General features: G+C 51.2%; 1 protein-coding gene across 54 annotated transcripts in view, besides 1 other annotated feature; it reads right to left on the bottom strand.

Moving 5' to 3' along the window:
- The window catches only part of RGS6 (regulator of G protein signaling 6), a 762,695-nt gene that overhangs the window by 79,529 nt on the left and 668,569 nt on the right, over window positions 1-14,597 (bottom strand). For 20 of the 54 annotated variants that reach the window (NM_001370270.1, XM_017021825.3, XM_017021822.3 and 17 more), the window contains 2 exons: window positions 14,226-14,315; window positions 10,407-10,460 (listed from right to left, as the gene is read on the bottom strand). In NM_001370270.1, the coding sequence (NP_001357199.1) occupies window positions 10,407-10,460; window positions 14,226-14,315 (144 nt within the window). Of the gene's footprint in view, window positions 1-3,133; window positions 3,345-8,738; window positions 10,231-10,406; window positions 10,461-12,089; window positions 12,984-14,225; window positions 14,316-14,597 lie in introns of those variants that run through there. The other 34 variants (XM_024449761.2, XM_024449759.2, NM_001370280.1 and 31 more) reach the window with 11 other exon arrangements.
- Window positions 4,902-5,680: an enhancer, noted in NCBI's record as "H3K27ac-H3K4me1 hESC enhancer chr14:73011529-73012307 (GRCh37/hg19 assembly coordinates)". NCBI's record gives its function as "activates a minimal SCP1, AML or CMV promoter by ChIP-STARR-seq in primed H9 embryonic stem cells {active_cell/tissue: H9 hESC(primed)}" and the evidence as "EXISTENCE:reporter gene assay evidence [ECO:0000049][PMID:30033119]".

Genomic DNA, 14,597 nt, shown 5'->3' with positions numbered 1-14,597 from the left:
ATGTTAAGGCCAGGCTTTCGGTCCTTGCTTGACAGTCTGTCTTTTCCTGTTAGGCACGGGGGCTCAGATGTACTTGGTGCTTAGTGCAAACAAAAAAAGCCAGGGGCATGGTGTGGAATGGTTCTCCAGCCCTGTCACTAAGTACAGGTGCCCTCTGCCTCCCTGCCTTCCCTCTCCCCCACCTCTTATACCTAGGCACCAACTGCACCTGATAGAGTTTTAATGGAGTATCTGAGAGAACATAGTAGCAATCAACCCTGACTGGGCTTTCTTTAGCTGTAAAAAGTGTCTTATTAAAACTTTGCTGACTTTACCGGGATCGCCATGTTTAATGAGAGGCCTCAAAGAATTTGAAAGCAAAAGATGGAGAGGAAAAAAGTCACAAGCTGTAATCACCATAATTACACAATCCCACGATGAGTTGAAAGCAGCCCTGGTGAAGCCCAAGAGAGGAGGGAGTGTCATCGGCAATCGGGGTGGTTCTTAGGACAGCTGGAAAGAATGTGACATGGGAACCCTTCCCTTTCCCTGAGCTGGGCTGAGGACAAGTCCCCCTGGCAGGGCCCTAGAGGAGGGAAGCCAGGGTGGGGGCATAGTTTCTCCTCAGTCCGAGGTCTCTGGGGGGTTTTTTGTGGGATGGGGATGGAGTTTTGCTCTGTCGCCCAGGCTGGAGTGAGGTGGTGCAAGCTTGGCTCACTGCAACCTCCGCCTCCCTTGTTCTAGTGATCCTCCTGCCTCAGCCTCCCGAGTAGCTGGGATTATAGGCATGTGCCACCACACCTGGCTCATTTTTGTATTTTTAGTAGAGACGGGGTTTCACCACGTTGACCAGGCTGGTCTTGAACGCCTGACCTCAGGTGATCTGCCTGTCTCGGCCTCCCAAAGTGCTCGGATTACAGATGTGAGCCACCACGCCCAGCCGGCTGAGGTGTTTTTGATGTTAGCTCATTTACCTGGAATCTGGAACTGGCATTGGGTAAAAGGCAAATGACTTTATGATCCTTTTTGCTTTCAACAAAACACCCTTTCCGGATGGGAACTATGACAGGATGAGTTTTCTTCAACCTTGGGCCAGGACGCCCCACGCACATGGCCACCCTGGCTGTGCTGGGGCTCACTGCACGATGGTTGCCAATGCCCTGTGCCAGTGGGCGCCTGTGTCCTCCACTTGCTGACCTCCTTTCAGACATTCGGGAGAGAGAGCCCTGTTGCCCAGAGCTCAGCTGCTGCGGCAGCAAATGCCAAAAAAAAAAACAAAAAACAGAAAAGAAGGCAAGGATGACATGTGAAGGGCAGTAATTCCACTTCCTGACGGTTTCCCTTGCTTTGAGTGTGTCATCTTGTGGCTTTTTCTCCCTCAAGGCGGAGTCTAGTCCTGAGTCTTTCAGATCCCTCTCCTCCAATCTCAGCAAACTCCTTCCTTATAATTCATTCTCCTTTTCCAGGACTTATTTATAAACCACAGAATGAAATGCAGTCGGATCCATTTAACAAGTATTTGGGGCAGCATAGAATTCCAGTTGCAAAAGATCATGGGATCTGGTGTAGAAACCTACTCTGCACTATCCTTGGCCATTCAGCTTCTAAACGGCTAGACATGGAGCTCGTTGCCCTTTGAGGGGACATAGTCTATTGTTGGAATATTCTGTTATTGTTAGAATATTTTTAGTATCTACCTATCTATCTTCTAGCCATTTGTTCTAGCCTTGCTCTCTGGAGCAACCCGGAAGTGTCCACTCTTGAAGACAAATGCAAAGAGCTCACGGTGGCCATCAAGTCTGCTGGGGGGCTAGACATTTTTACTCCAGCCTCTTCCGACGTGGCTTCCAGGGTCACTTTCTCTCTCTAGCTCTTCTCTCTCAATTGTCTCTAGATGTTAAAGTTCCTGATAATGTGGGGGCTTAGAACCAAGACTTAATATTGCTTAGAGCAACAAAAAGCAATGGAACACTTTTCCTTTCCCACTTTTGTTATATAGCCTAAAGCTGCCCTTTGGAAAGCAGCTGCATTCTGCATTTGCTTACACTAAGCTTATCGTCAATTACAACCCAAGAAATTTTTTTTTTTTAAACTTGATTTTTAGGAAAGGCTACAAATGCCATCCTGTAGTTGGGAAACTGAATTTAAAACACACACACACACACACACACACGCGCGCACACACACACACACAAATATGATCTGGTAAAATGCTATCTGTTTTTGACCCATCATCCCAGCTGCGGGAAATGCTTTCCAAATATAATTCCATTATCTACCAAATGAGCCACACTTTGGAGGTCTGGATCTTTGAATGTGGTTGGAATGTTTGTCTCTTCATCCAAGTCATCAAAAAGGTTATTGGATGGGCCATGGCTGAACCCTTGTGGCCCGCTCAGAGACTGCCTTTCCAGCGGACATAGACGGATTAATACACCCTCTCCCCTGCCATGAAGACGCTGAATATACTCACTTCACCTACAAAGGGGCAAACAGGGACGTGGAGGTGAGCAGGGGGAGGGAGGCAGGAATGGGCATTGCTTTCACCCTTCTTGTGCTGCTAACAGGCCACATATGAGTATTTTCTGGAGTGGGAAATGTATTTTTTAAGGTTACCCTTCTTAACAGTAAGCCAGACCGCCACGGGGGGTGTGGAGAGAATCTGCCAAATATTACACCAATGAGGCCCATTCCCGTATGTGGCCATGGTGCTGTTGCTCATGCTCAGGCTGATACAATGTGGCCATGATTAGGGGGCATGGAAGAACCGCTGCCCTGTGGCCCTGCCACTGCTGGGGTGGCTCCATGCTTCCAACCCCGTCTCACCTTCCCACCCATTGGGAAGCCACTAAGCAAACACCCAAGGGTCTTTCTCTCATCCACCTTTGGGCAAACATGACAAAACTAAAAATCCCACTGCTCTGAGTCCCACCCCCGGCAGTGTCCCATTTAGCCACACTGCAGGAGGGCAACATCTTACAGGCTATTCCTACCTATGGACAGGTATCCTGGCCTCCTTCCAAAATGTCATGCTTTCCTAACTCAACTCAAACCAGGGACACTCATCACTATTTTAAAAGGGGGAAGCATCCCCTGTTGTTTCCACCAGGAGCTCATTTTGGGGGGACTTCCATGGGTCGGGGGGGGGTCTTACTTCTTAGCCTTTGAAGTCCTCAGACTTGAAGCTCTCTGACTTCTCTTTGAACTTTCCAGTCTGGACCACAGGCAGAGTTGGGTCTCCTCTCCTTGACCGTGACATTGGCAGTGCTGTCGCCTTGCCAGACTCCTGCCATTGGATGCTCTTTCTCTGGCCCCCTCTGCTGCGGTGCTGCTGCTCCCCGGACAGGACTGAGGCAGGCTCTGTCCTAGGCAGAGGCGGGCATCCTGTCTTCTGAGTGGTCGGCCTTCCCGCTGTTTATCCTGCGGGGGGCCCTGCACTCCCCTTCACTCTCTGCCTTCTTACTAGGCAGGTGGGAGCCCACACAGTTCCCATGTGGCTGCACGAGGATGGCACTGGGGTCTGACTGCACAAGTGACAAGCATGCCGAGACCCCACAACCCCATCAGCCGCTTGTAAAGTGAGAGCACCTTTCCTGAGAGTGGGTGGGAGGAAGGCACTGTCATGGCGAAGGCCTGCAGGTCACCTCCCGAAATAGATCCCTGCTTGGCATACACACACTTTGCCCCCAGCCTGCCTTGCTAGAGACTGGCAGGGTACGCGATTTGGATCTGAATCAGTGGCTGTAAACACACAGCTGTGTCTTTCTGCCTCAGAGGATTTGATTTTCACTTGACTGCTTGGCACATTGGGGTCTGGGGAAGGCAGGAGAGGGCCTGGGCGGGGGTCGAGGGAGGGCCCACCAGGGAAAGCCAGGAGCAGCTGCCTCCACCGGGCCCTGATTGCCCCACATGTCCAGAAGGTGAGTCACCAGTGGGGTTTTTCTCCAAGTGGGCACTCCGTGGGGAGAGCATTTTGGCTGCTTTTGGCGGACAGGTTGAACCATCAGCGGGAACAGCTGGGGGCTCCTCCTTCCAACGGAAACGTCAGGGTCTAGGGCCCAGTGTCTCAAAAATGACAACCAACTTCTGGCCTTTTTTGATAAAAGTCTCGAGACTCCTGTCAACCCCGTGAGGAGCCACTTTGTCTTCTCTGTACCCACCAGCCATACTGAGTCTGTTGTTTTACATTTTGTAGTTTATAAAAAATAGACTTTTATATTTTCATTTTCCAGCTACAAAACTATAACAGTAAATATGCTTTTCCTAATTTCACACAGAGTCAAGATAAGAAGCGAAGCATAGAGGAGTTGTAACCTGGTCTTAACCACGGACTTCACCACTGATTGTAAACAGGATAACACTGTCTCTCATACTCTTATTTCCCATCGCTAAAAGAGGACAGCAACAAGCTGGCCCAGGGTTCCCTGGGGAACCAGAAAGCCTGGTAGCAGGTGAGCAGCAGAGTGTGCTGAGATTCCCAAGTGCTCACATTTCATTCCTTCCTATACCCATAGGGCCCCTGGGACCCCACAGTGCATGCAGTGATGCGGCAACACCGACCCTGGGGTCCACCTTTCTGCCCAGCTGACCCCACCTGACACACACACACACAGCTGGGCATCCAGACCGGAAGGGTGGGGACTGCAGAACTGGCAAGCTGAAGGGTGTAGGGCACTCACCCTGTTCTCTGTGAGTCCTCCCTGACCCTCCGGCGACTCACCGTGGACGAGTGAACCCTGAACAACTGAGCAGGGCCTGTGGTGTAGGTGTGGGGAGCCTGGGGCACTCAGTTCTCCTGCCAGTGCATGTCCAGGCTTTGTAAATACACCCAACTCAAGTCTATCCACAGTTTATTTCCCAGCCTCACAGGCTGGCAGGCACTTCTGAATCAGGTAACTAACTGGGCAAGAAGACAGCTCCTCTCCCATTCTAAGGAATGAGTTATATAACTCAGAAATCTCAGGACAGAGGGAAGCACAGACCTGCAGAACACCGCTAGCTGGAAGGGACCATCGAGACGACCTAGTCCAAGTCATTTCAGAGGAGAAAACCAGGGCTCAGAGAGGGCTAGTGATTTGCTTGAGGTCACATAGCTAGCAAGCTGAGGCTGGAAGCAGGAGCCAGTCTGCAGGAGGGCTGCTGAGGTGTCTCAGAGTCCCAGGACATGCACTTGCTGCTCCAGAGAGGCAGGTTTCCCTGCTTTCCTTCCCAAACACTTCGATGGAAGTCTCCCTCCAGCTCCAGCCAGGGCCAGGGTTTCACTGCAGCTGGATCTCAGTGCTCTGAGATGGGAGAGGCTGGCACTAATGTTTGTGACCCAGTGGTCCCAAAGGAGTCCAAGGACTGTTTGCAATAAAAACTAACCCTTTGGAAAGATTTTTAGCCAATTGGCCCTTGCCAGAGGCACAGAAAGATCATTTCAACTGAGGTCAAAGCCCTCTGGGGATTCTGCTGAGTCTAGGTATTTGGGAACTCATTCCACCAGGGTGCAAGGCTGTTCCCCATGAAACCTTGAGGAGGAGGGGAAAACAACACCGCCTTCCTGGGGGCAGGAGCTGCTTCTGCCGGTTGGCTGACTGCCCTGATTGCCTGCCTGCCCCCTCCCCTGCGGAGAGCCTTAGCCCTCCACTTCCGGTCAGCACCTGGGCCTGGAGCTGGGAGTTTCTCTCTGCAGAGCTGCCTGGAGGGGGATGAGTGAGCTGTTGACTTCTTGGCTCTCATTAGCTCTTCCTTGGCTTTTGGCAGGGGAAGGAACAGGGGGATGGAAGGAGGGGGCGAGGGAGGCTGAGTGGCAGCTGGCTCCCAGAGCTTCCCGCTCCCCATCTGACTTGCCTGCTGCATTCCTTGGCAGGCAGGCAGGACAGGAAAGCCTGTCGCAGAGATGCCACCCATCACATGCCAAGCCTTCTGCAGCTTCCGGCCCTTCCTGCCGCAATTCCAAGGAGCACCTTGGCAAAGCTAAACTTCGATGCTCTCTTAGGAGGTGGATGAACGCCTGGTCCTCCTCTCCCTTCTCCTCCGTGGCCTCCAGTGCTTGCTCTGGCACCAGCAACCCCATTTTCTATCTATCTATCTTTGGAGCCCAAGGCTGGAGCTGATGAAGCTCTCAAGAGGGCAGGTAAGGTTTCAACTGAGCCTCCAAAGGTACCCAGGGAGGCTGACACCAGCCTCACTCGGGGCTGCCATTTTCTCCTAACTTCAGTGCTATCACCCTCTGCGGCTTTTTCTGTGGAACTGGACAGAGGAGCAAAGGACTTTCTCCAGCTTCTCCTCCCCAGATTGGAGCTCTCACCAGATGGCTTCAGCCAGTATCTATCTCAACAAGGGAGCTGCTGCTGTGGCTTGGCCCCGATTCCTCTTGCCCCCTCTCCCTCCCACGCATGCTCCTGGTCCTCTATGTCAGAGCCAGGCCCTCTTTGGTGAGGCCCCCCACCCCACTGTGGTAGACTCTGTGGAAGCTGAAGCAACAAGCACACTTAAGAGAGAGCAGAGGGCGGGGTGTGGTGGCTCATGCCTGTAATCCCAGCACTTTGGGAGGCAGGTGGATCACTTGAGGTCAGGAGTTTGAGAACAGCCTGGCCAATATGGTGAAACCCCATCTCTACTAAAAGTACAAAAATTAGCCGGGTGTGGTGGCGTGTGCCTGTAATCCCAGCTACTCGGGAGGCTGAGGCAGGAGAATCGCTTGAACCTAGGAGGCAGAGGTTGCAGTGAGCCAAGATTGTGCCACTGCACTCCAGGCTCGGAGAGTGAGACTCTGTCTCAAGAAGCAGTGGGAGGGTGAGCATTTCAGCTCTGGCCACCTTCATGCTCCTATTGTCCTCTGTCAACTGCAAAACCAGGAAGATAGCAGAGAGTGGCAGGCTAGACATCACCAAGCAACAGGAAAGAGTCTTCAGTGAGAGAAGGCACCTCCTCTCCCTGGTCAGTAATGCCTGAGACTTCCCACCAAAGAATCTGAAGAACAGCTGGAAGGTGAAGCAAAGGCAACCCACAGTGACTAGCCAGATTTCTCCTACTGTGGTTTTCATATGTTACAGCCACTGTGAAAGGAAGCTTCCCCATGAGCAGGATTAGGCAGAGACAGGCTCCAAATCACATGACCTGAGGCCATGTATTGGGGGCCCTGGAGAAGCTGCTGTGTGTTACAGCTCTTTCTGAAACAGGCTCCTCGGACAAGGGTGGCCATGTACAGTGGCGTGGGTTATTCACTGCACCAGGGCAGCTGAGGATCAATAGGGGCTGAAACCCAGCCTGTGTTTTGCCTGGTCAGCTGGGCATCTGTGAGGCTGGGCCCACCAGAGGGAGTCTTGTTTTCCATTTTGGATGAACGTACATGGTAGGCTAGTTGCGCCCTGTCGTGGACTTCAGTCATGTTTAGTTCAGAACCTGGGCCTTATCAAATAAGCAGGGTTTGTGGTTTCAGTCTGCAAAATGACAGGATGCTTGGCCCAGTGTCCCCAGACATTTGCTTTGTATATCCAAGTCCTGAGTAACCTGGAATGAAGCTTGCATTGGAAAGAGAAGCTCATACAGCACTTCCTCTATTGACTGGGGAGTACCAGGCCCCTTCGTCACCCAAACTAACATGGCCCTAAAAGCTTCCATGAACCATATTAAATGTCTCCTTAGGATCTCATGGAAAAGGGGGCATATGTGGTCTTAACAGATAATCCCTCTATGTCATGGCACAACATAAGACTTGGAAAGAACAATTTGTTTTTTCCAAGTGTTTCTCTTCTACCAAGAAAAGAAAGGACATTGGCATGTTCTGGGGAGAAATTCTGAATTCAGATTCAGTCTTGACAAGCCTCCAGCTGAATGAGTTATCCAATCACCTGGATCAACATTATTTCTTTTTGCCATCAATTAATCCTAAATGGTAATTGGCCTCACGTCTTTGGTCCGTGAGCTGCCCAGCTTCACTCCCCTGTTTCCATTATTAGCCCCATGACATGGGTCATGTTCTTACACATCTTTCCCAGCAACACAGGAATGCTATTGAACTGGCCCTTCATTTAGTTTTATAGCTTGCAGTATATAGCAGATAAAACATTCACGTAGATCTTCTCTTAGAGAAATCAAATACTTTAGGCATATGATAGTCAGAGAATGGCTATCAAATTGCAAGGCATATTGGTTGATCAGTTAGTTAGTTCTGTTTGATGAGACCACTGGGCTGTTGAGACCAGATTCCTGGGTTCCAATCTTAAGTAATCTGAGAGCCAACACATGGGTCATATTATTCCCCAAACTTAGCCACATCTTGTGGGGCTATGGTGTCACCCCAAGAGCAGGAGGAGCATGGATGGATGGCAATCCATCTCCACCACTGGAACCCCAAATTCTGAATGCATCACCTGTTAGAGTTTCTTGTTCATAAAATAGCAGGGAATTTAGGAATTTAGTTTTTTTTAATAGTTTGGGCCTTTTATCCACACCCTCAGGAGCTTAGGATACTTTTCTCCTTCAGCTCACTCTGAAACTCCCTCTGGAAGCTCTCCCATGTGTGCACTTCAGACACTTAGGGGTGTCTTGGTGCTTTCTTGTTCCAAATGCTTTGCTAACAGACCTTGGGAGAACCCCCAAGCCAACACCACTTCTGGGATGAAAGGAAATCAATAAATGCTCCTCACAGAGCTTCGCGAGACCATTCTTGCCTTTCTTGATACTCACTTCTCTTGAAAAACAGCCTGAAAATGTCTGGACGTTTTGTCCAAGTACCAGGCTTCCCCTCTCACACCCGTGGCCTGCACGGTCACCCTCAAGAGCTTCCGGGGGCTGTCAAGGCTCTGCTTACACAGGCACCCTTGGCTTGTCAGCAAAATCCCTAACCATCCTCCACCCGCACAGTAGCCAGTCCTCAAAAGAGACAAACAGAGAGAGATGGGATCCCACTACCTTCTCTCAGGCCATCATGGAGTGAAGGAAGTCCCAGAAGCCTTGACTCTGACAGCCCGTGGCAGCTTCTTGGTGTGCGGAGCCACACGGCCATTGGCAAAGCAGCCATGAAGATAGACCAGGCACCCGCAGGCCTTGTGTTCTGCACATTCTGATTTCTCATGAGGAAAGGCCACAGAGAGGGAAGACCGAGGAAGGGAAGGGATGGATACCGATGTTTAATTAATTGCCACCCACTAGAGTTATTTGAGGTTTACATGTAGCAAATTCAAGATAATGTTTAAATGCACTTAAAATGCATCTAGCTACGACACGTAAATGACTAGGCTGCTTTCAACCCAGGAGCCTTAGACTTTTTCTTAAAAGGATGAAATACGTATACCAGTCACACAGTAGTCAGGTTTTACAAGGATTTTCCTCCTCAACAGAGGTGGAACAAAGGCAAGTCAATATCAATGGGCTGCCACCCTTTGGGAAGGGAATGTGGCCAGCTCCCTGCATGGGACCCTGCTCCCTGGTTCCCTCTGGTTTGATGTTCATGGTACAGGATGGGCCCCGTGATTGAGCGGGATTGAGTATTTCTTGTGCACTGAGCTCAATGTTCAAATCTTGGGCCGACCAGCATGGAAAGAGGAGATTGGCCTGTGTTGTTCTACAAACCATGGTAGAGAGTCTCAGCCATGCACCCCAGGGAACAGCCACGGACTCCCCACTCCCACCTGTTGCCACGGCTGTCTTTATGTGCCACTGTGGGGAGCTCTACCTCTCTAGCTGGGGCGTACCATGAACCTGTAGGAATCTGAAGCCCATCTTTACCCAGCCTGTTAGAATCAAGGCCTGAGGAGGCCGGTAGGACCTTGCCCCCGGGGAGTACCCAGGACACCGCAGGGATTCAGCTACTTCCCTCCTCTCCCTATCACACTGTGCACATGAGGCTGATGGGGGCTGGAAGGGACTCATGCAGAGGCGACTAACACACACGCCAGCTAGGCCACATCGCCAGGACCCATGCAGCACGGCCGCTTTCTGCACACAGCAAAAGCCGCCTACACAGCAACATTAGCTCGCGACCCACACCGGCGTGACTGCCAGGGTTCACAGAGGGAAATTTTGGCTTTTTTTTTTTTTTTCGATGAGCTATGGTTCTGAGCCAATTTATTTCACGGTATAGTTCGATGGCTTCTCCCTGAGCTGCTGCAGAAGATGCACAAACCGCACAGCCCCGAGGGCAGCAGGGTCCCTCCTCCTCAAAGCCCTGAACAGATGATCAAATGCCCAGGCCTGAGGCTGGGCGATCAAGGGTGCACCTTCTGCAGAGGGAGCCGCTTGCTCTTTTTTGCATTTTCATCCCTAGAAGAGAAGCTGCAGACACTCGCAAAAGAAAAGGGCTGAGTCGAGGGAGAAAGCACTGGACTCCCTCCCACCCCAAAGGAAACAACAACCAAAGGGAAAAAAAAAAAAAAGAAGAAGAAAGAAAAAACCAAAACCAAAAGAAAAGCTGAGGGAAGAAAACCGACTGAACTTACCACACTGCGAGTGAACTTTTCTAGGGAAGTTCTACGACCTTGCTCACTTTCTGGCTTTAGGAAAAAAAAAAAAGGGTAGGGAGAAAAATACAGAAAAAAAAAATCTTCAGCTTATACGTGGTTCCCAAACAGCAGCAGCTGCAGCTAAAGAATAACAAAAACCAAAGCAAAATGGGGCGAAAAATGGGAAAAGAGAAGCAGCCAGAGCTGTTGGAAGAGTCAATGGGAGAGACAGAAGACAGAAGCCCACGAGAAATGGTGCCGCCTCCTTGGAGCAGGGAGCAGAGAGGGGGGCTTTGCTTCTCCGGGGGCCATGAATGGTGCTTGCGGGGCTTGGATCAGAACCATCATGACTTTGCTGCAGGACCACAGTCGGTGGGTTTGAGCAGCTTGCTTGCTGCTTTCAACCTGCCGTGCCCACAGGCAGGAGCCCTGGTGGTTGTGGCCCTGGGGCCCTGGGGGCCCCCCAAGTCCTGACACAGAACAGACTGGCTCTGAGAGCCAGCAGGGTGTGGGAGGGACGTCAGGAAGGGGCTGCCGGGGAAGCGAAGTTATCTACTCATCCATGAGTCTGCCTTAGGACTGTTTTCTCTCTTGAGATTCCCCTGCCCAGAGGCAGCCAGAAAGTTTGCTAACTTCAGTGACTTCCTAGTGACCCTCGTTCTGTGTCCTTAGAGCAAGGAGGGTCTACTCATAGCCTTTGCCATGGACAAAGGGTCTTGGGTCTCAGAAGACAATAACATGGGGATTGTGTGTTTTCTCAGTATCCAAAAGGTGACATAACACCTGCCAAGATGTACGTACGACAGGCTAGAGGAAGCTCAGAAACCATTGTGGGGAACTCTTAGCTGGGGTTCCCAGAACAGGAGCGAGGAGAGGCAAAGCCCTTGAATGTCTTTCCAGGCCTAGCCTCCCTCTACTACAGGAGGAAGAGAGGTGTGGGGTGCTCCTGACTTTCCTTTCACCCCACATTTCCTAGCTGCAGGGGTTCCGGGAGAGTAGAATGACCGCTCAAATACCTGCTAGTGTATCCTGGATCCCGTTCCAGGGTCCTGAGCCCGAGGCTGAGAAGTTCGGAGAGTGCACACACTCACATAGACACAAACATACACCCAGCAAATAACTGAAATGAGGGAGCTAAAGAGGCAGCCTGAGGTCTGTGGGTCTGCGGACTGTGCTGAAAGCAGAGGGGACAGGCCAAAGGCAGCCGCCTGTGTGGATGAAGTTGGGGGGCTTCCTTGGCAGCCAGGCCCCTTGTCAGCTCAGCTGGCTGCCAGAAGACAGATATGAGGTTGCAGAAGGAAAATACAACACAAACGACATAACACCACAGAGTTGGGCTGGCCTTTCTTCTTGTACTAGGAACTGAAGGACTCATGCTTGGCCCCGGGTACCATACCAAGTCTCTATTCTGGGGATGGCAGGACTCAGCTTGAACCCTGTGGCCAGCCTGGGTGGCATACACTTGGCTCAAGTCAGGCCAGTCCTGGGCCCTGCAGCTGGCATTGTCGGCCTGTTATTCTTATCCTCTGGCTCACAGAGGGTGGCCATTGGTCTGGCTCACTTGGCTCCTCTGCCTTGCACTGGCCATTGAGCTGCCCTGGAAAACCATCATCACTGGTACTGAAGTTTCCTAGAGTAGCCCTCAGGACTCAGCTCACCTACCCCCTGAGAACCTGATTCTTCAGTGTGACTATCATTTATTTGGAAAATATTAGAAAAGAGGCTGAATTAGGGATGAAGGATCAGAAGGCTGTGCCTCAAGACTCCGTCCAGGTCAGTTCTCAGCAGAAAAGTGAGGCTGATTCATATTCCCTCTCTCCGCCGGAGGTTGTGAATCTCACATACCTTTTATGACCTGGATACGGTGAACCCGTCCCTGAAATCAGAAGAATACTCTAGGCCTACCTGAAAGTGCCGAGTTACAAATCAGATCCATACCTGGAGACTCTCAGGAAGAAACAGAAGGAGAAAGCAGGTTTTGTCACTGTTTTGGGAAACAACTCCTCAGTATTGAGACGTTGTTGGTATCTGCAAGGGCTTTCTGTCTCAAGAACATCCCTTACTTCGGGAGCTGGGAGGATAACTCTAAGGAACTTTTCCCAGGCAGGTTGCCAGTTCCTTCCTCACTCAAGTGACCTCCTCTGAGAGGTTTTCTTCTTGGAAGGGAGGATCTGCAGCCACAGGGGTCTCAGCCTGGTTTGGGGTGCATTTTTCCTTTGTGTTCAAACCCACAAGGAGAATCAATGGCCTCTAGCTTCTCTTCTTCTAGGTGTGTAGACAGGCCTAGACTGGTTAAACTACCAGAGCCTTAGAAAGTCACCAAACTGTGATCAGATCAGGGGTCTTGAGCCACAGAAAATAAGAAAAACTTACTTTGACCTTCATCCATGAGATCTGGGCTGGAGTTATCAAAAGTTCCTATAATTTTTCTTTCCTCTAGTTCTTAGAAAAAATGGGCATTAGAGCCATGTATGAGGGTGTCGGCCTCCTCCAAAGGAGCCCCTCCATTGGCATCCTCCAGCAGGGGAATCGACAGGAGGCCAGGCTCCACACTGCCCATCACAGTAGCCACACCTGTGGGGAGGGATGCAGGAAACCCAGAGAGCTGCTGACAACTGGGATACCCCAGAAGTCCTCTTTCCTTTCTCAGACTCCATGGCCTCTTTCCAGGGCTACACAAGGGCAGGAGAGCAGGTTATAAATGCTCTCCAGGACTCTGGAGTTGTGTGGTCCCAACCAGATACGCAGACAGGATCCTGGCACATGAGGGTGACAGCACACAGAGAGAAGGCTTGCGTGGCTGAGAGGCAGCCCAGCGGAGAGCATGTGATGGGCAACCACGTGCTTAGGGCCTGGGGCTGGGAGTCCAGGAGGGAGGAGAAAGGGATGCCTGTGCTCCCTAAGTGCCATGGCACAGAAGTCATAGGGTTTGGTGCAAGTTGAGCCACACTTAACCACACATGGGCCTCAGATCAGAGCTGAAAAGCACAGAGGGTGGGCAGGTGTACTGAAACCAGGAGCCCTCTCTCTTGCCTTCCATTCCCTTCCTGGACCCTATTCTCCTGCCTACTCTTCCTCCTCTCTTCCCAGGAATCTAGCTGAATTTATTCCTGCTTCTGTCACCCCTCACCTGCATGCTGAGGGCCCCTGCACCTCAAATCCATGACTCCATGGGCTGCAAGGAACCATGGCTGAGTTCTAAGGAGGAGGAGGAAGGAGCTGGGTGCAGTTACTTCTTGGTTAAGAGAGAAAGGCAACACCGTGGGGCAGGTGCGGGAGAGGAAGGGGGTGTCAAGGAGGGAGAAACCCCAGGATGACTTTAGGTACCTGATTGTGCTCTTGAAACTGACAAGGCTTTCTGACCAGTGAGAGAGCTGCCCCAACCCTGGCCTCATACTCCTCTCTGGGCTGGTCAGGGAGAGAAGTCTGAGGTGAAGGGGCTGGACTTTGCAGTGAGGGGCTCTCTCCAGTGTCCTAAGGGTTTTGCTGGTGTTACTGCCAGCCCTGCACTCCTATGCTGAGCCACTGTGGCCTTAGTCTTTTGTCACCCTACGTACCCACCCCCACCATGGGCAGAACATGCAGAGAGAGGCAGTAGGGATGTGGAGGTAGGATGCCCCATCCTGGACCTTGCAGTGGGGCTGGGGTGGTGACAATCCTAACTGTTTTCCATTAGAATGGGAGCAGATAGAGAAGGGAAAGAAGAAAGTAGGAAATAAATAAAACCCAAGGGATGATATTCTCATTTCAAACCAGCAGCAAGCAGCAGGCAAGAGTCAACAGTGCTAAGAGCAAGCCTGCCCTTCCCAAAGATACCTTCTTCTTGGCCAGCAGCAAATCCTGGTAAGCATTTGACCGGAGGAAGCGGGCATAGCTGTCACTCTTCATCAGCTTGTAGATGTGCTCCTGGGGAGGAAGGTGACAAGGAGACACAAGGAAGGGCTGTCAACCAGTGCTAAAGAATATTACAATCCAATTGATCACTGTTTTGGGGAAGGAGATGAAGGAACCTAGGTATGTTTGCATGTACCTAGAAAAACTTGCAACATGTTCCATCCCCACACCCCCAAACTCAGCAGCACCAAACAAAACATATGGGCTCTCTTAGAATAAAAGTTCCCTGAGGATCATGTCCTGAGGGATTTGTAATTGGGCTTGGGTGCCATGTTGGGGTGCTTAATGATTAAA

This window comes from Homo sapiens, chromosome 14 (assembly GCF_000001405.40).
Source record: "Homo sapiens chromosome 14, GRCh38.p14 Primary Assembly".
Lineage (NCBI taxonomy): Eukaryota > Metazoa > Chordata > Mammalia > Primates > Hominidae > Homo > Homo sapiens.
Note: the sequence above shows the minus strand (reverse complement) of the source record. Positions and strands in the feature narration are given on the sequence as shown.